The 25,689-nt window shown below is 41.0% G+C and overlaps 1 long non-coding RNA gene across 1 annotated transcript in view, besides 1 other annotated feature; it reads right to left on the reverse strand.

Annotated features, from left to right (window-relative positions):
• LINC00882 (long intergenic non-protein coding RNA 882) overlaps positions 1-25,689 on the reverse strand; it is a 130,849-nt gene that overhangs the window by 16,337 nt on the left and 88,823 nt on the right. Inside the window, exon 2 of the long non-coding RNA NR_028303.1 lies at positions 3,762-3,866. This is a non-coding gene — a long non-coding RNA (long intergenic non-protein coding RNA 882). The remainder of the gene's footprint in view (positions 1-3,761; positions 3,867-25,689) is intronic.
• Positions 16,624-17,163: an enhancer, noted in NCBI's record as "NANOG hESC enhancer chr3:106861597-106862136 (GRCh37/hg19 assembly coordinates)". NCBI's record gives its function as "activates a minimal SCP1, AML or CMV promoter by ChIP-STARR-seq in primed H9 embryonic stem cells {active_cell/tissue: H9 hESC(primed)}" and the evidence as "EXISTENCE:reporter gene assay evidence [ECO:0000049][PMID:30033119]".

Genomic DNA, 25,689 nt, shown 5'->3' on the forward strand with positions numbered 1-25,689 from the left:
CTAAAACCAGTAAAGTTCTAGGCCCTCAGGAGCATTGTGCACCACATAAAGGAGTTTGGAGTATAATCCTAAATCAATGCAGAAACATTGACAGGTTTTTCCTCAAGGAAGGGAAATATTCTGATTTGTCTTTGGAAAGATCATTCTGACTGCCCTGTGGAAGGTAAATTGGGAAGCTAAGACAGGAGGAAAGTGAACTGGTCAGGGAGCATCTCTACTAATTCATGGGGAAAAAGACAGAGAAATATGGAAGCTTTAATGAGGATATTGGGGGAGAGATAAATTCAAGAGATATTTAGGCAGTTGAAACAATAGTATTTAAACACTTATATATGAAGGTTCTATAATTACTCTCATGTTTCTGGCTTAATAGCTCAGCAGATGGAGGTTTCATTCCTCAAGAATGGAAATATAAAAGAAAGAACAGACTTTGAGTGGAGATGTTCAGGGAGGGGAAGATCATGAATTCTGTTGGATGGGTTGAATATAGAAGCCCCATAGAACATCCTAATCAAAGTAGCAGGAGGTGCATATCTTTAATGTACTTCTTGTACCCATGACTAAGCTTTATGATGGAGAAAAAGATTTGTAAATCATCAGTATTCAGGTAGTGGAATGAAAAGAAAATAATACTAACCAATATTTAAATGGTAAGGAGAGGAAAAGGAGCCTAAGGATATGGAGTAGAAGATTCCAGTGAAGAAACAGAACCTCCAAGCCAGACTTCTGTCAAGGAACAATGGTAGGAAAGAGTTTCAAGAAGGCAATGATTGGTTAGTATATCAGTCAGGGTTCTCTAGAGAAACAGAACAAATAGGAGATAGATGATCAGACAGATAGATGATAGACATATATACAGATACACATCTATATCTATCTGTATAAAGAGATTTATTACAGGAATTGGCTCACATAATTATGGAGGCTGAGAAGTCCCATAATCTTCCATCTGCAAGCTAGAAACCTAGGAAACCCCAGTGTATAATTCCAGTCCAAGTTTAAAGGCCCAAGAACCAGGAGTCCAGATGGTGGAAACCCCAGTTTAATGTCTAAACGTTAAACCCCTGCTTTCAGCAGGATGAGATTAATTTCCCAGCTCAAGCAGAGAGAGCGAATTCTCCCTTTCTCCACCCTTTCATTCTGTCCAGGCCCTCCACAGATGGTAAGATGCACAGCCACACTGGGAAGGGCAATGCGCTTCACCCAGTCTCCCAATTCAAACACTAATCTCATCCAGAAACAACCTCACTCTGTTGTTTCACACAAGAAATAATGTTTATCCAAATATATGGGGACCCTGCGATCCAATAAAGTTGACATAAACAATTATGTGTCAGTTTCTAAAGCTTCCAGGAGATCAAAATAGGAAGTCCGAAATGTACCCAAAGATCTTGTTGCTCTGGAGTAAATTAGAGACCTTTTCCAGTGCATGTTTGGTGTCGAGATGGTGACTAAAACTTGATGACTGTAAGTAAGAGTGTCAGAAAGCAAGGAAAGAAATTATAGACTAATATTTCAAGAAGCTTGGCTAAAACAATATAACATTTGGCTCCTGCCTCAGAAAAATGACACTGTTAGAAATTAGGAGTCATCTCGATTCTGCCAACAAACTCAGCATTTTTAGGCATCCCACAACCCTCTCTATAATATCTTTGGCTGTACAACTCTGCAATCAATAAAATGTGTTCAGTGAAAGACCCAAACAAAAGAACTATCATTTTTGCATCATATTAACATATATTATAAATCAAAGTTATAGTTAGTTCAACTTTGCTAAGAAAAACTGGCATTGCCTGTGGCATAACCAACGTGGTAAGAACTGGTTTCTACTATTCAACATAGTCCATGAGCAGCTCTACAGGCAAAAATGAATTTTTCAGGTGATTTATTCAGCCTAAGTTTCTTAAAAATTATACAGTACAACAAATTCTTTGGAGTCTAGTCCAAAAACAAATAGGAATCTGTAAAAATCGAAGCAATTGCTCTTGATTTCTGGAGATGGAATCTCTGGATGTCAAATGGAATTTCTTTTCCCAAACTGAGTCACCAGAATTATAATTCTGATTTTGGTAAATTGTCCCCAAATCTGCCCTTACTATCAGATTATAGAAGTCTGAATAGGGCTACGGTATGCTGCAATAACAAACAATCCCATAGTTTTGATGACTCAAACAAGAAAGATTTCTTTCTTACTCATGTCCATAACAGGTTAACAGGGGATTCTGCTCCTTTTACTTATTCAGAGACTCAGGCTCATAAAGCAGTCACCATTCAAACATCACAGAGTTAAAGGGTGCCCCAGAGAGACTTGCAATTAACCAGAGAGTAACCAAAGTCACCTTTGCTCATAATATTTTCTTAAAACTAGTCACATGGTTCCCACACAGATACAATAGAACCATGAAATCATGGAATTCAATCCGACCATGACCTCAAAAAGTGAAGAGATGGATATATTGGGAGAATTTTGATAATGACGACCATGTGAGAGCATTCTGGCTACACCTGTATCTTCCCAAAGGTATGTAAATATGCACACACATACACACGTATATACATATGTGTAGCAATGAGAAATGTCACCTGGGTGGTGTCTACCTTTGAACATTGTTTCTTGTGTCAACACATTAGCATCATTTCGTTATTTATCTACTCAGATGGCCTAATCAAACCAGAAACCTTCAAGAAATCCAAGATAGAGTTTTAAATATTTCTTTAAATGCGGTTATCTGTACACACAAAAAGAACAATCATACCAAGAAGACAGTATATTTTTTAAATTACATAAAATTATTTTCTGTAAGAATAATTGGGTACTATGCTGCTAAAGAGAAGCAGTTCCCACATTTCACTGGGAAATGAGTACCCTATTTTTATAAAGGGATAATCAAGGTTTAATTTTTGCTTGGAAAGACAGAAAGAGAAAGAGAATGTTTGCACAGACTGCTACTGCCACAAGTCTTCTCCCTGAACGGTTTCCTCTAGCTATATTTTTAATGCATTGGCTCCTTTCCAGACTTCTTTAGATTACGTAGTGAAGTACTAGAAAAAATGCAGTGTTTTCACCTTGAACTTCTAGTAAAGACGCCTTTAATTTTTTTCCTAAGCCTCTTCCTTCCCAAAGCCAGACAAGTTTTCTTTTGTTGCAATCAGACATTTATTTCCTCAATAAATTCAGAATTCTTAGCACCCTAGAAATTAATTATACAATGAAAGTATTAATGACACAGTTGAAAATTTTACTTGTATGCTTGTACCAACATTTGTTTCTATACGATATATTTTTTTTCTAATTAACACCTTCCAGTGTCTCTGGTTAACTCATTGTTGCTCTTTCATCCCACTCACAACTATTTTGAGAAGGTTAAGTCCTATGGATAATTCCATGGTAACATTCATTAGTTTTCTCCTGACTAATTTATTTAGAGCCAGTGAGTCCGAAGTAACCCTTTTTCTAATGCAAGAACCTGTCTTTTAGAGCAAAGCTTCCATTCTGTATTTTCTTTCTAAACCAGGGCACGTCTCCGAGCATCTCAAGGGAACAAGTTTCTAGAATTAGTTTTGCCTCTTCTTTTGAACGTTAAACTGAATCAGCTTTCCCTGAGCTGCCATTTTGGTGCTAGATTCTTGTGCCACTTGGATTCTTGTGGATTCATGCATAGTCTAAATTGGTATAAATTCCTTGTCTCAATCTGATCCTGCTGCTATAACAAAATATCTTAGACTGAGTAATTTATAAATAATAGAAAGTTAATTCTCACAGTTCTGATGAAGGTGAAGTGGAAGATCAGGGTGCTCAGCAGGTTCAGCATCTGGTGAGGGCACAGTCTCTGCTTCCAAGATAGAACCTTGAATGCTGCATCCTCCTGAGGGGACAAATGACACCGAGAGAGTAGAATAGAGTGGAATTCTCTGAGAGGTAGTAGAATAGAGTATGACTAGTGTGAGTGTGATTGTGTGGGACCATGTGTGAGTGTGACTGAGTGTGACTAGGTGTCAGAAGGACTGTGTGAAACCAGGTGTATTGGAACGGTGTGGGACCATATGTGAGTGTGACTAGGTGTGAGTGTGAGTGGGTGGGACCATGTATGCATGTGACTGAGTGTGACTAGGTATGCATAGGACTGTGTGAGGCTAGGTGTATTGGAACTGTGCGGGACCATGTGTGAGCGTGACTGAGTGTGACTAGGTATGAGTAGGACTGTGTGAGTCTAGGTATACTGGAACTGTTTGGGACCACATGTGAGTGTGACTAGGTGTGAGTGGGTGGGGCTGGGCATGAGTGAAATAAGCGTGAATAAGTGTGGGTAGGACTGGCTGTGCCTGAAGTTTGTGTGAGTGGGTGTGACACATGCCCAGTGTGTATATGAAGTGTGTGAAGGGCACTGAGGATGAATGAGACATTGTACCTGAGTGAGAGGGAAGGAGTTCCTGAGGGAGTGACTGCATTTGAGGGACTGACTGTGCGACTGTGAGTGAGCTGACTCTGGTGTGCATATGGGTAGGGCTGGGTGAGACCGAGTAGTACTAAATGGAGGCCAGTGGGGTGGCTGGTCATGAATGTGAAGGAGTGTGAGTGTGAAGGGAACGACCAGGAGTGTGAGTGAATGGAACAAGTGTGTACGGTTGGGCGAGAGTGAGTGGGGCTGAGTAAATGGAGGACACTGAGTGTGAGTGATTGTGGGAAAGTGGGGATGTGAGTGTGGATGAGTGTGAGGCTAAGTGAGTGCACAGTCCTAGGCACATGTAAATGGAACTCAGTGTGTCTGTACACACGCCAGTGCCACTGGAGGTCAGAAAGGAAGTGGGCTGAAATCAAGAAGGCATTTAGGGATTAGGGGACACAATGAAGTCAGAATCGAAAGCAAGGAAGCCGCTAACCTGGCAGGAACCAAAATGACACAATTATTGAAGAATAAGTCAAGGAAAAGACTTTTTAAATATCATAAGAACAGGAGGACAAGGTGAGAGAATTAGGTTATCACATAAGCACTTGGGCTCTATCAGGACAGAAACCAAGTAAATGCCCAGGTAGCTGACCTGACATTCTAGCTACAGAGAGAAATGTTCTTAAATGCCTATTCATAGAGAACTGACTAATTCCAGGGCAAGGATCCCTCAGTGCTCACTTGTGAGACTAGGGAGATGACTGAAAGCCCATTTAGGGTGAGATGAAGTTTTGATAAAAAAGTCATTTAGTTAATTGAGCTTCTTATTGTATCTCTTCTTGCCTCCAATATCCATAAAAACTTCAAAAATTTCATGCAACACACCAAAGAGGTTTGGCTAGGCAGCCCAGTCCTTGAAGTCTTGCCTTTCCTTCCATCCCAGAGTAGTGTGCATCCTATTCTGCTATGGGCTGCCCCTGGGAAGGCACTGAGTGTGACTGTGTGTGAGTGGGACAGTGTGGGACTACTGGGAAGATAAGTCTGATAAAAACTACTCCATTATCGGAGCCTGTTCTCTTTCTTTCAGGCTCACTTATGTTACAGAACTAATTTCTTACAATTAAAAATGAGAGATTATTTGACGAGTAAACAAAGAAACTAAATTCAAAGATTGGGTCATACTCGTAAGTCAGGATAATAAGGATTATAACTTATAAGTTGCATAAAGATTATTTAGAAAGAAGTTGTGTCAGCTGGGTGCAGTGGCTCACACCTGTAATCCCAGCACTTTGGGAGGCCAAGGTGGGTGGACCACCAGAGGTCAGGAGTTCGAGACTAGCCTGGCCAATATTGTGAAACCCCGTCTCTACTAAAAATATTTTTAAAATTAGCCAGGCATGGTGGTGGGAGCCTGCAATCCCAGCTACTTGGGAGGCTGAGGCAGGAGAATCGCTTGAACCCAGGAGGCAGAGGTTGTAGTGAGCTGAGATCATGCCCCTGCACTCCAGCCTGGGCAACAAGAGCAAAACTCCGCCTCAAAAAAAAAAAAAAGAAAAGAAAGAAGTTGTGTCTTTCATATATAGTAAATAACCAAAATATTAGTATGTCTGCTAGATAATATTCTATTGAAATCAAGGAATACAATATAATGTATAATATATAATCATCTAAGTGTGAGTGGAGCTGAGTAAATGGAGGGCTGAGTGACAAATCAAAGGGTAGCCAAGTTTCATACCATGGATGGACTGCCAGAGGAGTCTAACAAGCCCCAAAGTCATATGCAAAATTTGATTATGCCTTTTCCTGGATGAAGCATCCATAAAGCGTTCAGAATCTCAAAGAGAACCTCTGACCACCACCCCCAACCCTACCCTTATGGACTGCTATTTTAGAGGTTACTCACTTGTACAGACATTGAGTTCCTTGTGCGAATTCTGTCTTAGTGATTTCACTAAAGTTGTTCCTGCTGCTTTTGCTAGTGCTGATCTAGGCCTTGACCTTTTGAAACTTAGAGAAACTTTTGCAGTGGGGATCCGCCATCTTGTCTAGCCACCATCCAGGACACAGACATGGCTTCCGTTCGTGAGTCTCTATTAAATGTTTCTTTCTAAGAAACTGGATTTGTCATCCTCTTTCTTTAGCCTGTCAGCTGCCATGGACTTGGGGGTAGGTTTGCATAGACCTGGCTACCACGAAACATGTGGGGAGCCAGATCAGGAGCTGAAAGACCAAGAAATGAGCAAAGGGAATGAAGCATCCATGGGGGAGGTCCTAGGTGGCTGTCACTTCCTGGAATGGTGTGACTCACCTTTCAGACACTTACGCATGAGTACGGGACACGTCAAAAACATAGGCACGTTTAGAGCGACTGTCAGCGGAAAGCTGTCCATCACATGCACTAAGGAAGGGCAGCTGCTGCAGTGGATGGCTGCTTCTGTGAGGTGCTCTTTTGACAATGAGAGCCCTGCTAGCATCAGAAGCAAAAGTAAAACGGTTTGAGTAGGAATTACAACTAGGAAAAAATTTTTTTTGGCCGGGCGCTGTGGCTGACGCCTGTAATCCCAGCACTTTGGGAGGCCGAGGCGGGCAGATCACGAGGTCAGGAGATCGAGATCACCCTGGCTGACACGGTGAAACCCCGTCTCTACTAAAAATACAAAAAATTAGCGGGGCGTGGCGGCAGGCGCCAGTAGTCCCAGCTACTCGGGAGGCTGAGGCAGGAGAATGGCGTGAACCCAGGAGGGGGAGCTTGCAGTGAGCTGAGATCACGCCATTGCATTCCAGCCTGGGCGACAGAGTGAGATTCCGGCTCAAAAAAAAAAAAAGATTTTTTTTTAAGAGCTCTATAGTCAAAAGTCAACTTAGTGAAAACTGGTATTTGGGGTATATATGTATAACTTAGTGAAAACTAGTATTTGGGGTATATAGGTATACACGTGTTGTTATAAGGCCTCTGTTTTTTCTCTGTTAAACTCTGTCAACTGAATTCTGTTTCTCCATTTGCTTCTGCCTGTCCCTCTTTTTTCTTGCCACTCTCAATGCCACATAAAAGACCTAAAAAAAAAGGAATTTCTGACAGCCTAGACTCCCTTGGGAGAAAACAGAAAACGCACCACAGACTCCTTTTTGCGAGGAGCCTCTGTTTTTCTTAATGGAACCCCAAGAGTTGCATAGCAGACATTCTTTCCAGGTCTAAAACTCTTCTCTCTTTTGTATTGTGTTATCTGATTTCTTTGGCTTTTGCGGGGATGTGAGTGTTCTGCCTTCCAATAAATATTAGGCCCTAAAAAACTGCATACTTTTTTAGCCCTTTTCCTTAAAGGGCTCCACTCTAAAGTCAGTAATTGAATTAAGAAACAAACTGGCCAGACGCAGTGGCTCACGCCTGTAATCCCAGCAATTTGGGAGGCCAAGGCAGGAAGATTGCTAGAAGTCAAGAATTCAAGACCACCCTGAGGAACAAAATGAGACCACATCTCTACACAAAATGTAAAAATTAACTGGGCTTAGTGGTGCGTGCCTGTAGTGCCAGCTATTCAGGAGGCTGGGGTGGGAGGATCACTTAACTAAGTTCAAGGCTATAGTGAGCTATGATCACACCACTGCACTACAGCGTGGGTGACAGAGCAAGACCTTATCTCAGAAAACAAAACAAAACAAAAAAAGAAAAAAGAAACTAAACTGAAAATAAGATGTGTCATATGCATGTGATATTTCACTGCCAAAATATATGAAAGAACTCAGAAAAAAATAGAAATGGCTTTTAGCTGCTGTGACTTTAGTAATCTTTGGTAAATGAAACTAGTTTCCAAATGTTTTTCAGTAACTTAAAATCTTAAAGTCATATTATATTAAATAGTCATAGGTTATTCACTGGAAATTGGGGTTACTAAGAGTTAAAATAGTAGTTAATCCATGTAATTAAAACTACTAGATATAATTCTATATACAGAATGTATAAAGAAAGATGTGCTTTGGTAAAGAAGGTTATAAAGGAACACAGATGTATGGTTTTGGCTTAAAGGAAAAATAATTTTGCCTAGTTTAGAGTTTATTTAAAGGTTGTTTCAAAAAGAAGGAGAAATGATATGATATGGAGAATGAGGAGCTTTTGATTCCTAGCTGGCCACATGGTCACCCCGGTATGGCGCAGCAGCTGTGCGGCATTCAGTTACTAAAGGTAAAAGTTAGCAGAAGAATTCAGGGATGGATCAAACTCTGGGAAGCTGGTTCTCTGACTGCATTAGGAAAGGCACACAAAGAAGCAGAAAGTGAAATATTTAATTCCTGTTATTGTTATCTCTAATAGCTGAAATGAAATTAAAAGAGAGCACTGGGTTGGGTCTTGAGGCTGAACCAAGCTCAGATGTGAGTCTGTCTGAGCTCTGGCTCCTAGCCTCAAAACTACCCATGAAGGGGAAAATTATGGCAGGGACAAAAGAAAGTACCTCTGAGACCTATGGTTACCATGAAAGTACTCAGGACTTCAAGGCTACAGTGAACCATGATTACACCACTGCACTGTAGCCTGGGTGACAGAGCGAGACCCCATCTCTGAAAAAAAAAACAAAAACAAAACAAAAACAAAAAACACAAAGAAAGAAGAAAAAAAAGCTCAGTTGAAAACAACATGTCATGTGTATATAATGTGTATGTATGTGAGTATCTGATATTTCATGTGAGGGAAGGGCAAAACCAAGTAACGACTGAAACCAGAAGGTATAATGTGAAAGAACTGGTCTATTTTGAAGATCGGTATTATCCGCTTCCTAAGGAACTGAAATGGATTGTGAGAGTAATAATTTAGGGGCCGTATCTTTGGTTTTAAATGCTGCAGAGTAGAAGAGCCTGTTTGGGTTGATGCAGGACCCACAGTTCACTATTGGACAATCACAGGTGGCTATAAATAATCCAGACACAGGAGGCTACTCCAGAGGCAATAGCTGGCCTGATGGACTGGGTAAAAGACATTTGTAAGGTCTGTGTATCCTGAGAAGGGGGATTTCCCAACTTTCCCTATAAATGCCCAATTGAGCACCCTAGATGAAGCAACTGATATGCTTTGTATGCAAGCCAGGTGGAACTGGCTTTATGATGACAAGGATATTCACCTGCTGAATATGCCCTTTACCCAGGTCATGTCAAGTACTGTAGTTAAGGGGTCCCCTCCTGCACGGGCACACCATTGCTGCTACAAACTGAAAGACAGTTAAGGAAGCTGTATCAAATGTGCTGGTTTAACTTCCCCTCATCTGTTTTACAGACACTAATAAAAACATTAGGATAATTAACAACAGCATGGGGAAAAGCAAAATATAAATATATAATCCAAGGACTCATCCTAGGAAGGTGAAACATTTTAACTGCTTATTAAAAAGTAAGGTTTTTTTTAAAAAAAAAAAGTTGATAGGGGTAAAACTAAGAGAAAAAAGAAGGGGAGGGTCATGGGACCCATCCCAGCAGGTTGGGAATCTTTAGTTGGTTATTAAGAAATGGAATGAAATAAATGGAAATTTATGAGGTAAAACAAAGACCTTAACACACTATCAAAGGTTGAGTGGACCAAAGAGAGCCCCTGCTGGGCCCCCAATATTAGAGAGCCTCAAACCAATTTTCTATGTTTACCCCAGATTGGAGAAATATTTAAAAAAAAAAAAATCAGAAGGCAAAGGTTACAGTAAGAAAGCTGACCAACAACTACCTGGGCCAGTGTTGAGGCAGGTAAATCAAAACAAAGATTGACAAAAGGGCCTGAGTTCCCTAGCTCAATCCCTTGCTGGGAACCCAAATCCTTTTTCATCAGAGGGTAAAATGGGAGTGGAAAAGAGAAGTTCCTGGAAACAGAAGATAAAAATTTAGGGTTGATAAAAGTTGAAATGTTTAAACAGGCTTTATGTAAAGTAGTTGGGTATTCTTTAACTAAACCTTTTATGAAAACAGATGCTGTATCTAACCAGGGAACGCTTCCCCTACCTAGTACTGTAAACAAAGAAGGCATGTCAATCTTCCCTTTGAGCAATATTAATTGGACATGCTAAATGGGAATTAAGACTGCCTGAGCCTACAGAGTGTAGAGTAGAAGCTGGAGTGTTGGTCAAAATGAATTCTCCACCAAATAGCTGTTTGTGGAGCATTTACTGGGGCTTATGGCAGAAGTTTGTGAGCCCCTCTCAACAATGACTACTGGCACTTTGGACTAGAGAATTTCCACTTGGGGGGCATTTACTGCCTTGCTATGGGACATTAAATGAAGCTACTCCTGTGCTAATGGGGATAGCAATGGCCAAAAGAGTTCCATGAGAAAATGCAAGTGGTTTATAAGATCTTGCTACCTGGGAAGTGCAAGGAAGTGACAGTCATAAGCAGAAAGCCTTTTCCACAGGACTAACTGTGGAACTGTGTGAGGAGCCACTGGATTCCACAGTGCCTGATAAACAGGTCTCACTTGACTGACAAAGAGCTGCTTGATTTGTGGATGGCAGTTCCCAGGTGAATGGACAACATTCTGTTTGGAAGGCTGCTACTCCAAATGACGAAGAATCAAGGAAATCTTTCTTTCTTTTGAGCTATTTATAGCTTAGAGAATGTTAAAGCAAACTAGATATGGCCTGAGAAGCACTCCATACTTCTATATTTGAGTCCTTATGGATGAACTGCAACCTAGCTTAATAGGTAGACAAGATTGAAAACCTAACTTAGGAGTATGCACCTGTAACAGTCACTGAGTCTTGGCCAATCCCAGCAGCCGTAATTCAACCACGCACACACTGCTGAGTGTTCCAGTTGTGTTCAAATAAGGCAACTGCAGAGCTGTAACCAATCCAATTGTTTTGGTACCTCACTTCTGATTTCTGTACATCACTTCCCTTTTTTTTTGTCTATAAATTTGTTCTGACCACGAGGTATCCCTGGAGTCTCTCTGAAACTGCTGTGATTCTGGGGGCTGCCTGATTCGCAAATCTTTCATTGTTCAATTAAACACTAATTTAATTCAGCTGAAGTTTTTATTGTACCAAGAAGTTGAGTATTTTTTCAAATACTCAAAAAGAGCAAAATTTACCTTTTTCTCTACCTGAGTTCTCCAAAATTTGGAAACTATTCAGGAGTATTCTTATTTTGTGGCAATCTAGTTATTTGCATAAATTCAGTAAGAATGTGTTTTCTTTTATAATGGAACACAATTGGAGACACTGGTTATTTTTCCAAGGCTTTGACTGGAATAGCATATTTTCAGATATTATCAGATTGCTTTTAGGAATTGAAGTCAACTTTATAGAGCCAATAAAAAGCCCCTTGGAAAGACTAGCCTGGTATCTTGTTTAAATTGTTCCATTACAAGGTTCCTGATCTGTGGTAAGTAAAGAATGTCACTTTCTGGCTGGGCGTGGTGGCTCACGCCTGTAATCCCAACACTTTGGGAGGCCAAGACAGGCAGATCATTTGAGGTCAGGAGTTTAAGACCAGCCTGGCCAGCATGGTGAAACCCCATCTCTACTAAAAATACAAAAATTAGCCAGGTGTAGGGGCAGGCGCCTGTAATCCCAGCTACTCAGGAGGCTGAGGCAGGAGAACCACTTGAACCAGGGAGGCAGAGGGTGCAGTGAGCCAAGATCACGCCACTACACTCCAACCTGGGCAACAGAGCAAGACTCTGTCTCAAAGAAAAAAAAGAATGTCACTTTCTAACAGGCTCAGGAACCTCAAGATATTTTGGGACCTTGAGAAGAGAGGCATTACAAGCACAGTTTGATGGCAAATCCTTGGCTTGGCTTCTTGCCTTGAGGCTTTTAAAAAGTCAAATCTGAAATTTCTTATAAGAGTTCCAGCAAAGCCAACTTAAAAAGAGCCTATGTGGCCCATCAGTATTCTTGCTACACTTTACACAAATAATCAGGCCAAGTATAATAAAACTAAAATTTATTGTGAAAATAAATTTGTCCTAATATGGTTTATCCTTGGTAGAAATGGGGAAACTATAGAGAGAAAAACTTAGATGCTAGCCCTAATCATTGTTTTGGAGTTATCAGTTGCCTAAAATTTGAGCTAATCCTGAATTATTTTTTGACTGCAACAAATCTCTAAAGAAGAACTGGATTTTAATTTTCTTCACGATGCCTTTAGTTGGCTTCTTAATGGAATAGGTTCTTTTGTGTTTTTGTTTTTCTGGCATTCTAATTCTTTTTTTTTTTTTTTTTTTTTTTTTTTTTTTTTTTGAGACAGAGTCTCACTCTGTTGCCCAGGCTGGAATGCAGTGGCACAATCTCAGCTCACTGCAACCTCCACCTCCTGGGTTGAAGAAATTCTCATGCCTCAACTTACCAAGGAGCTGGGATTACATGTGTGTACCACCATGCTCAGCTAATTTTTGGCATTTTTATTAGAGATGGGGTCTCGCCATGTTGGCCAAGCTGGTCTCAAACTCCTGGCCTTAAGTGATCCGCACACCTCGGCCTCCCAAAGTGCTGGAATTACAGACATGAGCCACCACACCTGGCCTCAAATTCTCTTTTGATTTTAATCCTGGTATGCATTATAATTCTACTACTCAAATTATTAATATCTCTCTCGTTGTTTTACTTCTTCTGAGAAAACTGAAGTCACAGTATTTCAAAAACTGGAGATGATTCAACAAAGCCTGGGAATCTCCCTCATTTGGAATCTCAGTTGGCCTGCTCTGTTTTCCATTGCCAACATACTACTGCTAAACCTATACCATATCAAGCATCTTCCCTAAAGGCTCAGGGACCATCACAGAAGAGGAAGGCAGATGAAACTGTAAGAGCTGAATTAGGGGATGGAGTGTGGAAGCCAAAGCCACTCCATCTTGGATGCTAATCTACCATATTGACTTCTGATTAACCCCAGTTCCAGGAAGACCTCTAAAATTTCCAGTTTATCTCTTGTTCCTTGTGTAAGAGTAGGTACTTACCATAAATTCTGCCCTTGGGTGAAATGACCTTGATGTTCTTGTACTTCAACTGTCCTACACATCCCTTCTGAAACAACATTTCCCTAGGTTATGTAAGTCCTGGGTCTGGGGGTTTACAGTGCGGAGATCCACGATTTTGTCTCACAGCTGCCTGGCACACAGACATGTCTTCTGTTCATAAGTCCTTATTACATCTTTCCAAGAAAAAAGAAAAAAAAAGCTTCTACAATCCTTAAAGTCACCCTCAAAGGAGGAAAATATGAAGAAGAGGGAATTTGCCACATATCCACATTAAAAGCCATAAAATATGTTCAGTTTATCTGTATATATAATTTATGTTGTACCAGCTTCCACAGCAGCTAGTTCTTTAAAATATTCCATTCTTTTAGCACTTAGGTGTGTTCATTTGATCACCTTACTTTCAGGCATGGATATTTCCATCATTTGTTCATTTTAAATAACAGTCTTTGAAAATAGAAACAAGCACCTCCACCACCCCCCACCCCCACTGCCACTGTCCATTTCTTTTTTCCTGGGTTGCAATAACCAAGAGGGAGTTATGTCTACTTTAATAGTATATATAGAGGTAGATACAGATTTTGTGGAGCCTGAGGCTTATACAGTTTTGGGCTTCTCTTTTTTTAAAAAAAGAATAAATATTATGAATACCATAAAGGACTCTCTCTGGGCCTTGGGTAAGTGAGGGGCCCCAGAGGCTAAGTGTCATTAGCATCATCCCGTGAGAATACATTCACGAGGAGAACAAACCTGGTTAACTTTTTAAGGTTGGGGTTAGGGGTTAATCTTGGCCATTTTGCTTTAATTTGAAAATACGTCTGACCTTTAGAAAAGGTACCTGGCTTTTCTAACTGATTTTTCTTTTAAAATCATTTTTTCAACATGAACTTGAGAGATGCTATGGTTTGAATGTATGTGTTCCACTAAAATTTATTAGAAGCTCAGTGAGCAAAATTCTTTCTCCTTCAAACGCTCTAGAAACTACAGAAAAGAACAGTTGAGTCTTACATTGATATGGAATACAGTTTTCTACCTAATGCAGAAACCTCCTCTATACAATCTTGGAAAGTGATCATCTATCCCTTTATTCGTAGTATTCAAAATTCCATTTCCTTAATTCATAAAATTCAAAAAACATCTGAGGATCTATCACACATGAAGCAGTCTTCTGTGTGTCAATGTACAGTGGTGAACGTGAAGTACACAACTTCCTTCTCATAGGATTTCATTCTAGTGAGGGGAAGAAAAAGGACAAAGAGGAAAAGTCAAAGAAAGTCATTTTGGATCATGATAAATGCTCTGAACGAGGGCTGGGAGATGCCCTTAGAGGAAATGGTATGTAGACTGAAAAATGAGAATATGAAATATCATGGGAACAAGATTCAAAGCCAGTGTGATAGCCCTGAGACAGGAATGAGCTTCACATATTAAAGTGAAGGGATGCCAGGGAGCCACAGATCAAGTCTCCCCTGGAGCATTAGAAGTGTGTGGGGGCACGTGATAGCAAGGGGGTGTTGCTGGTATTTTGTGAACAGGGGCAAGGGATGCTAAATATCTAGCAGTATTTGAAAAAGCTCCAGAAGGAATTTTCCCAACCAAAATACCAGCACCTCCGTCAAGCAGCCCTGACAGAGAATAGTGAGTATAGAGAAATTGATAGACAGGAGGTCAGAGAGCTAGACAGGAGACACATTAGATAGGGCTTCAGGGCCACAGTAAAAGTTTAGATCGTTATCAGAAGTGTGACAGAAATCATTAAATGCCTAGTAAGCACAGAAATGTTTTTGTAAGTTCTGGGGACAGAAACATAATGCCTTCATACAGCATTCTATTCCACCTTGGAGTCCAGATTTTTTGTTTGTTTGTTTGTTTTTATTTTTTATAGAGACAGGGTCTTGCTATGTTGCTCAGGCTGGTCTTAAACTTGGAGTCCGGATTCTTAGAGGATTCCTTTTACAATTAGCTTAAGTCAGACTCTTTGTAATTTCCACTTAAATCTCTAGTACCACAAAAGAAAGCCCCAGAAAATGTCTTTTCCATCTTTGTTTTCATCTCCACCTTCACACTCCACTACAACCCAGTCTCTAGGACCAGATCTATGCTTAGTAGAGGGAATTCCGCAATTCACTCCATTCATAGTGTTACTGAAACACCCAGGGGTTCCATCTAGGTCTTGTTGCTCACCACACAGACAACCAATCACTGAGACAAAATGAGTATTGCCAAGGAAGAAGACTTTATTTGGATACTGCAGCCAAGGAGATGGGAGATCAGTCTCAAATCCATTTCTTCAACCAACTAGAATTAGGGGTTTATATAGCAGGGAAGAATGGCAATCACATGCAGGTTAACAGAAATTAGGGTGGGGTAAGGATATCATGAGGGATAAAGGGTCTGATTTCTCATTATCTGGATGTGGTGGTCTGGTGAGTTTCAGTTCCTTGATACCATCTGGGAGGCCTGAGGGCTGGTTTCCTCAAGAAGGAACTCAGATAAGACAAAGATAATTTTATCAAGTTTTAAGACTGGGAAAGTCCATTTCTATGTTTATTCAAAAAAAAACCCATAAACATCAGTTCTATGGGACAACTGGGCAGGTTTCAACAGGTCCGTGTCTCAAGTGAAAATGGGATGTTTTTCCTACTTCCTTGTTTCCTTCTTTTCCTCCATTGCTGTCCCTAGTTCTTAGTCACTGCCTGCTAGAACTCAGTCCCCACATTGTATTCCAGATGACTACTTCTACTTGAATTGAGGGTCCACAATTGACAACTGTCAGGAACCCCAATTCTCCTAAGAGTAGACCCTACTTAGTTTTGGTTTTACTTTCAGCATTCAAGTCCTGCCCCTGAACCCTAGGCCCACAGCAGATGTTCTGTTACTTCCAGGCAGACTTTCCTAATACCCACCATATGACTACCTGGCTGCAAATCCACATATCACCTTGTTGCCAGACATGTCTGTATTCATGCTGTGCCCATCTGCTGAGACACCCAGAAGGGAAGCAGGCTGTTGTAACAAGAGCAGTGATTTAGGTGTTAATTCTAATACAACAGTTTACTAACTGGAAATTTTCTAAAATCTCTTAGAGCTTTGGTTTTCTAAAGCGGTGATGATGGTGATGATAATAATTCCTCCCTCAAAGCTCTGTAATGAATAAATGAACATGATGTAGGCGTTCCAATATAACTAATGTGATCATCTTTATTTATAATTGCTGGACCTCCCTAATCAAAGCCAAAAGCTGCCACTTATCATGAGGTGCACTGGATTCTGTGACCTCATTGTCCTTTTTCTTCCTAAACCTCTGCTGCATGCTATTCAGTGTGCCCATTTATGGTTCTGGTCCCCTGTCTTTGAAGATGTGAGCTTTAAGCCAGGACTCAATAGCCTTGCTACTGAGTTAACCAAGAAACAAAAGAGACTATTGAGCAGGAAACGGTGGGTGTACACAGAAAGAGGTAGATGCTTAGAGGTATTCTTGGAATGCTAAAAAGGTAGAGTAATCGCTGAGGGTAAAGCTAAATGGGGGGTTGAGAAGGAGAAAATAGCAGGGAGTGGGAAGGGAGAACAAAGCAACTCTTATCCTCAATTATCCCGGCAGTTCTGGGCTTGGCTACATTAGCAAGATTCTTGTTTAGATCCTCATTTTGCTTTGGCTGTAGAGGCCTCTTCTGGTGGGATTTCAGGGTATTTTATAACCCATCATCCCACCCCTCTCTCCTGTGGTTTTAACTGATGTGGAGGAAGGGAACTATTTAGTGAAATTAGGTCCTTTCAATATAACACAGCTGCTTTTCTTCATAGAGATTTACTTTTGACAAGTAATTTATATTGCTTTCAATTACTATGGCATACTACTGGGGGCTAGGGGAGGAAGGAATTGGAGACAAGATTGCTTGGGAGTGTTTTAATGTAGTTTGTTGTAACAGGTGGCCTGAAGAACTGCTGATTTGAAGCTATGCCACAGCTGTGCTTAGCTGGCTTGACTGCTGCAGAAACCTAACTGAGCCTGGACCCGGGTTAACACAGGTGCACAGAGTGAACAGCTGTCTCTTTTTTTAATTAGGGGAAGGAAGTGAGCACAGATTTGAAAAATAATATTATAAGAACCAGAGTGCAAAGGGATGATTTACTTCCACTTCATTTTATTATTTGTTATAAATGGTTTATAAAAACACACTGAGTGAATTTAATAATGCCTCTTTGCAGGGTTTTCTCCAGCGTCGCTGACTAGTGCTTCTCATACTTTAATGTGCATACAAGTCACCTGGGGATCTTGTTAAAATGCAGCTTCTGATTGAGTAGGTTTGGAGTGAGCCAAAGATTCTGCATTTCTAACAGGCTCTAGGTAACACCAGGTCTGCTGTTTTGGGAGGACACACTGAGTAGAAGACTGTCAACTACACAGCACTTCAGAATACTAAATTTGTAAAAAAAACAAAGTTACACTGTCAAATGTTAGAAATGGTCTCTTAGTAGGGGATGAAAGTAAACTACCTACTGATGAGGTCTTAAAGGAAATTGAATGACTAAAAAAGTCATTAATATTAATTATTTTAAATTGCTCATTTGACCTCTTAGATTCTGATCTTACACCACAGGCTTAAAAGTACTCTTTACAATTGGTTGAGGGAGCCAAGATGGCCGAATAGGAACAGCTTCGGTCTACAGCTCCCAGCGTGAGCAATGCAGAAGACGGGTGATTTCTGCATTTCCATCTGAGGTACCGGGTTCATCTCACTAGGGAGTGCCAGACAGTCGGCGCAGGACAGTGGGTGCAGTGCACTGTGTGCGAGCCGAAGCAGGGCGAGGCATTGCCTCACTCGGGAAGCGCAAGGGGTCAGGGAGTTCCCTTTCCTAGTCAAAGAAAGGGGTGACAGACGGCACCTGGAAAATCGGGTCACTCCCACCCTAATACTGTGCTTTTCCGACGGGCTTAAAAAACGGCGCACCAGGAGATTATATCCCACACGTGGCTCAGAGGGTCCTACGCCCACAGAGTCTTGCTCATTGCTAGCACAGCAGTCTGAGATCAAACTGCAAGGCAGCAATGAGGCTGGGGGAAGGGCGCCCGCCATTGCCCAGGCTTGCTTAGGTAAACAAAGCAGCCGGGAAGCTCGAACTGGGTGGAACCCACCACAGCTCAAGGAGGCCTGCCTGCCTCTGTAGGCTCCACCTCTGGGGGCAGGGCACAGACAAACAAAAAGACAGCAGTAACCTCTGCAGACTTAAATGTCCCTGTCTGACAGCTTTGAAGAGAGCAGTGGTTCTCCCAGCACGCAGCTAGATATCTGAGAAGGGGCAGACTGCCTCCTCAAGTGGGTCCCTGACCCCTGACCCCCGAGCAGCCTAACTGGGAGGCACCCCCCAGTAGGGGCAGACTGACACCTCACACGGCCGGGTACTCCTCTGAAACAAAACTTCCAGAGGAACGATCAGACAGCAGCATTCGCGGTTCATGAAAACCCGCTGTTGTGCAGCCACCGCTGCTGTTACCCAGGCAAACAGGGTCTGGAGTGGACCTCTAGCAAACTCCAACAGACCTGCAGCTGAGGGCCCTGTCTGTTAGAAGGAAAACTAACAAACAGAAAGGACATCCACACCAAAAACCCATCTGTACGTCACCACCATCAAAGACCAAAAGTAGATAAAACCACAAAGACAGGGAAAAAACAGAGCAGAAAAACTGGAAACTCTAAAAAGCAGAGTGCCTCTCCTCCTCCAAAGGAACACAGCTCCTCACCAGCAACGGAACAAAGCTGGACGGAGAATGACTTTGACTAGTTGAGAGAAGAAGGCTTCAGACAATCAAACTACTCTGAGCTACAGGAGGAAATTCAAACCAATGGCAAAGAAGTTAAAAACTTTGAAAAAAAATTAGACGAATGGATAACTAGAATAACCAATGCAGAGAAGTCCTTAAAGGAGCTGATGGAGCTGAAAGCCAAGGCTTGAGAACTATGTGAAGAATGCAGAAGCCTCAGGAGCCGATGCGATCAACTGGAAGAAAGGGTATCAGTGATGGAAGATGAAATGAATGAAATGAAGCGAGAAGGCAAGATTAGAGAAAAAAGAATAAAAAGAAACGAACAAAGCCTCCAAGAAATATGGGACTATGTGAAAAGACCAAATCTACATCTGATTGGTGTACCTGAAAGTGACGGGGAGAATGGAACCAAGTTGGAAAACACTCTGCAGGATATTATCCAGGAGAACTTCCCCAATCTAGCAAGGCAGGTCAACATTCAGATTCAGGAAATACAGAGAACGCCACAAAGATATGCCTCGAGAAGAGCAACTCCAAGAAACATAATTGTCAGATTCACCAAAGTTGAAATGAAGGAAAAAATGATAAGGGCAGCCAGAGAGAAAGGTCGGGTTACCCACAAAGGGAAGCCCATCAGACTAACAGCGGATCTCTTGGCAGAAACTCTACAAGCCAGAAGAGAGTGGGGGCCAATATTCAACATTCTTAAAGAAAAGAATTTTCAACCCAGAATTTCATATCCAGCCAAACTAAGCTTCATAAGTGAAGGAGAAATAAAATCCTTTACAGACAAGCAAATGCTGAGAGATTTTGTCACCACCAGGCCTGCCCTAAAAGACCTCCTGAAGGAAGCACTAAACATAGAAAGGAACAACTGGTAGCAGCCACTGCAAAAACATGCCAAAATGTAAAGACCATCAAGGCTAGGAAGAAAACTGCATCAACTAACGAGCAAAATAACCAGCTAACATCATAATGACAGGACCAAATTCACACATAACAATATTAACTTTAAATGTAAATGGGCTAAATGCTCCAATTAAAAGACACAGAGTGGCAAAGTGGATAAATGGTCAAGACCCATCAGTGTGCTGTATTCAGGAAACCCATCTCATGTGCAGAGACACATATAGGCTCAAAATAAAGGGATGGAGGAAGATCTACCAAGCAAATGGAAAACAAAAAAAGGCAGGGGTTGCAATCCTAGTCTCTGATAAAACAGACTTTAAACCAACAAAGATCAAAAGAGACAAAGAAGGCCATTACATAATGGTAAAGGGATCAATTCAACAAGAAGAGCTAACTATCCTAAATATATATGCACCCAATACAGGAGCACCCAGATTCATAAAGCAAGTCCTGAGTGACCTACAAAGAGACTTAGACTCCCACACAATAATAATGGGAGACTTTAACACCCCACTGTCAACATTAGACAGATCAATGAGACAGAAAGTTAACAAGAATACCCAGGAATTGAACTCAGCTCTGCACCAAGCAGACCTAATAGACATCTACAGAACTCTCCACCCCAGATCAACAGAATATACACTTTTCTTAGCACGACACCACACCTATTCCAAAATTGACCACATAGTTGGAAGTAAAGCTCTCCTCAGCAAATGTAAAAGAACAGAAATTATAACAAACTGTCTCTCAGACCACAGTGCAATCAAACTAGAACTCAGGATTAAGAAACTCACTCAAAACCGCTCAACTACATGGAAACTGAGCAACCTGCTCCTGAGTGACTACTGGGTACGTAACGAAATGAAGGCAGAAATAAAGATGTTCTTTGAAACCAATGAGAACAAAGACACAACATACCAGAATCTCTGGGACTCATTCAAAGCAGTGTGTAGAGGGAAATTTATAGCACTAAATGCCCACAAGAGAAAGCAGGAAAGATCCAAAATTGACACCCTAACATCACAATTAAAAGAACTAGAAAAGCAAGACCAAACACATTCAAAAGCTAGCAGAAGGCAAGAAATAACTAAAATCAGAGCAGAACTGAAGGAAATAGAGACACAAAAAACCCTTCAAAAAATTAATGAATCCAGGAGCTGGTTTTTTGAAAAGATCAACAAAATTGATAGACTGCTAGAAAGACTAATAAAGAAGAAAAGAGAGAAGAATCAAATAGACACAATAAAAAATGATAACGGGGATATCAACACTGATCCCACAGAAATACAAACTACCATCAGAGAATACTACAAACACCTCTACGCAAATAAACTAGAAAATCTAGAAGAAATGGATAAATTCCTCGACACATACACCCTCCCAAGAGTAAACCAGGAAGAAGTTGAATCTCTGAATAGACCAATAACAGGATCTGAAATTGTGGCAATAATTAATAGCTTACCAACCAAAAAAAGTCCAGGACCAGATGGATTCACAGCCAAATTCTATCAGAGGTACAAGGAGGAATTGGTACCGTTCCTTCTGAAACTATTCCAATCAATAGAAAAAGAGGGAATCCTCCCTAACTCATTTTATGAAGCCAGCATCATCCTGATACCAAAGCCGGGCAGAGACACAACCAAAAAAGAGAATTTTAGGCCAATATCTTTGATGAACATTGATGCAAAAATCCTCAATAAGATACTGGCAAACTGAATCCAGCAGCACATCAAAAAGCTTATCCACCATGATCAAGTGGGCTTCATCCCTGGGATGCAAGACTGGTTCAATATACGAAAATCAATAAATGTAATCCAGCATATAAACAGAACCAAAGACAAAAACCACATGATTAGCTCAATAGATGCAGAAAAGGCCTTTGACAAAATTCAACAACGCTTCATGCTAAAAACTCTCAATAAATTAGGTATTGATGGAATGTATCTCAAAATAATAAGAGCTGTCTGTGACAAACCCCCAGCCAATATCATACTGAATCGGCAAAAACTGGAAGCATTCCCTTTGAGAACTGGTACAAGACAGGGATGCCCTCTCTCACCACTCCTATTCAACATAGTGTTGGAAGTTCTGGCCAGGGCAATTAGGCAGGAGAAGGAAATAAAGGGTATTCAATTAGGAAAAGAGGAAGTCAAATTGTCCCTGTTTGCAGATGACATGATTGTATATCTAGAAAACCCCATTGTCTCAGCCCAAAATCTCCTTAAGCTGATAAGCAACTTCAGTAAAGTCTCAGGATACAAAATCAATGTACAAAAATCACAAGCATTCTTATACACCAATAATAGACAAACAGAGAGCCAAATCATGAGTGAACTCCCATTCACAATTGCTTCAAAGAGAATAAAATACCTAGGAATCCAATTTACAAGGGATGTGAAGGACCTCTTCAAGGAGAACTACAAACCACTGCTCAATGAAATAAAAGAGGATACAAACAAACAGAAGAACATTCCATGCTCATGGGTAGGAAGAATCAATATCGTGAAAATGGTCATACTGCCCAAGGTAATTTACAGATTCAATGCCATCCCCATCAAGCTACCAATGACTTTCTTCACACAATTGGAAAAAACTACTTTAAAGCTCATATGGAACCAAAAAAGAGCCCGCATTGCCAAGTCAATCCTAAGCCAAAAGAACAAAGCTGGCGGCATCACGCTACCTGACTTCAAACTATACTACAAGGCTACAGTAACCAAAACAGCATGGTACTGGTACCAAAACAGAGATATAGATCAATGGAACAGAACAGAGCCCTCAGAAATAATGCCGCATATCTACAACCATCTGATCTTTGACAAACCTGAGAAAAACAAGCAATGGGGAAAGGATTCCCTATTTAATAAATGGTGCTGGGAAAACTGGCTAGCCATATGTAGAAAGCTGAAACTGGATCCCTTCCTTACACCTTATACAAAAATTAATTCAAGATGGGTTAAAGACTTACATGTTAGACTTAAAACCATAAAAACCCTAGAAGAAAACCTAGGCAATACCATTCAGGACATAGGCATGGACAAGGACTTCATGTCTAAAACACCAAAAGCAATGGCAACAAAAGCCAAAATAGACAAATGGGATCTAATTAAACTAAAGAGCTTCTGCACAGCAAAAGAAACTACCATCAGAGTGAACAGGCAACCTACAAAATAGGAGAAAATTTTCGCAACCTACTCATCTGACAAAGGGCTAATATCCAGAATCTACCATGAACTCAAACACATTTACAAGAAAAAAACAAACAACCCCTACATAAAGTGGGCGAAGGACATGAACAGACACTTCTCAAAAGAAGACATTTATGCAGCCAATAAACACATGAAAAAATGCTCATCATCACTGGCCATCAGAGAAATGCAAATCAAAACCACACTGAGATACTATCTCACACCAGTTGGAATGGCGATCAGTAAAAAGTCAGGAAACAACAGGTGCTGGAGAGGATGTGGAGAAATAGGAACACTTTTACACTGTTGGTGGGACTGTAAACTAGTTCAACCATTGTGGAAGTCAGTGTGGCGATTCCTCAGGGATCTAGAACTAGAAATACCATTTGACCCAGCCATCCCATTACTGGGTATATACCCAAAGGATTATAAATCATGCTGCTATAAAGACACATGCACATGTATGTTTATTGCGGCACTATTCACAATAGCAAAGACTTGGAACCAACCCAAATGTCCGACAACGATAGACTGGATTAAGAAAATGTGGCACATATACACCATGGAATACTATGCAGCCATAAAACATGATGAGTTCATGTCCTTTGTAGGGACATGGATGAAACTGGAAACCATCATTCTCAGCAAACTATCGCAAGGACAAAAAACCAAACACCGCATGTTCTCACTCATTGGTGGGAATTGAACAATAAGAACACATGGACACAGGAAGGGGAACATCACACTCCAGGGACTGTTGTGGGGTGGGGGGAGGGGGGAGGGATAGCATTAGGAGATATGCCTAATGCTAAATGACGAGTTAATAGGTGCAGGACACCAACATGGCACATGTATACATATGTAACAAACCTGCACATTGTGCACATGTACCCTAAAACTTAAAGTATAATAATAATAAAATTTTTAAAAAGTACTCTTTACAATTATATCAGAAATAGTTCAATGTATGAATATTTCAATTTCTGAGAAATTTAACTATAACTTCTTTTTCTTATTACTGTGACCACACAATGAAGCAACCAAGAGATTCCTTCAATTATTGAGTCAGCAATTCATCTATTTGCAAAGTTTTAGAAAGGCTTTTTCCTCCACTTTGGCAAGTATTTAATTCAGAGGCATCATAAGTCAGGGGAAATTAAGGCAAATAGTACATTTTTTGCATTGCACGGCAAAAACAGGATTCTGAGAAAGGGTGCAAAGAAAGATGATTCATTATGTGTGCCATAGCTCATACAAAAGGAATATTTGGGAATATTAAATTGATGTGTTTTCAGTCTTCTCCCTGCCTCCTAGTAGCAATTCCATCATCATTGATCTGGAAAAAGAAGAAAAGGGGAAAGGCCTATGAGGAAACGGCAGGTTCCCATGAGATGGGAGAAGGAGCATGGGAGCTTGGCACTGCAGCAGTGGGAAGACAGCAGGAGGAAGAAAAAGATAAAACATCTCGCTGTCCTCCCCTCGACTAATCCAGGCAACAAGGTAAAGAGATTGGGAATCAAGCCAAAAGTTGGTGTCCTCTGACCACATTTCTGTCTGAGATAGTGAGGTGATGATTTAGAAGCTGTCCTCACCTCAGCACAGGAGTGACCATTGCAGAATGAGAGAGGTGGTGCATCACTGTTGGTTAGAGATGGAAGGCCTTGGCCTTACTAGAGTCTTTCTGGAGGTGGCTTCAGCTCTCAAGAAGCATGGACAATAGTTTCATGTTTCCACATGCATCGTGGAGCAATGCAGAAGGTAGCTGATAATGCTAGATGGCAAGGGAGGTATCTGCTATAAAAATCAAATGGCACAGACACTGGAAGGTGCTGGAATGACCAGAGTTGGGAATCAGATCAGCTGCAAGCAGATTTCAGGGAGGTCCAGAAGCCCATCAAAGGTAAGCTGAGGCTGAATCTTCAGGGAGGTCCTCTGGGATATAACTGAGGCATGAGCAAAGAGAACTCCACTTGACCTGAGCAGACAAGTAGAATGAGGGAAACTGCTACCACAAGAAGAGGAGGCAGTGCCAGGACCTGCTCATGGCTCCTGGAGGCCCCATCATTATTCCCCAACCCAATCATGCCAAATCACTTATACCTCCATACATCCCAACATCATATGGGAAGAAAATATGAGTGAGGAAGTAACAATCTGAAAGATTAGGATTTGATCTAAAAGAAACTGATTTACCTTAAGAGACCATTTAAATTATTGAATCAGAATGATTAAATTTAGATATTTTATTCCCCTCTCACTAATTAGACAGAAAGAGGTTCTCAAAGGAGATAAAATATCTTCTGTAGAAAATAGAGCTACAAGCCCTTTGCACAGCTCAATGTAGTATGAGTTTAATTGGCAACCCTGATTCTCCAATAACAAATCATTATATTTCAGTCATCCGGCTACCTCATTCTGAGCTGGAAACACCAAGGTTTTGCCTCCACTGTCTGCCATCGCTTCTCCCCAGCTCTGCCCATCTGTGGGCTA

Source organism: Homo sapiens, chromosome 3, assembly GCF_000001405.40.
Source record: "Homo sapiens chromosome 3, GRCh38.p14 Primary Assembly".
Classification (NCBI taxonomy): Eukaryota; Metazoa; Chordata; class Mammalia; order Primates; family Hominidae; genus Homo; species Homo sapiens.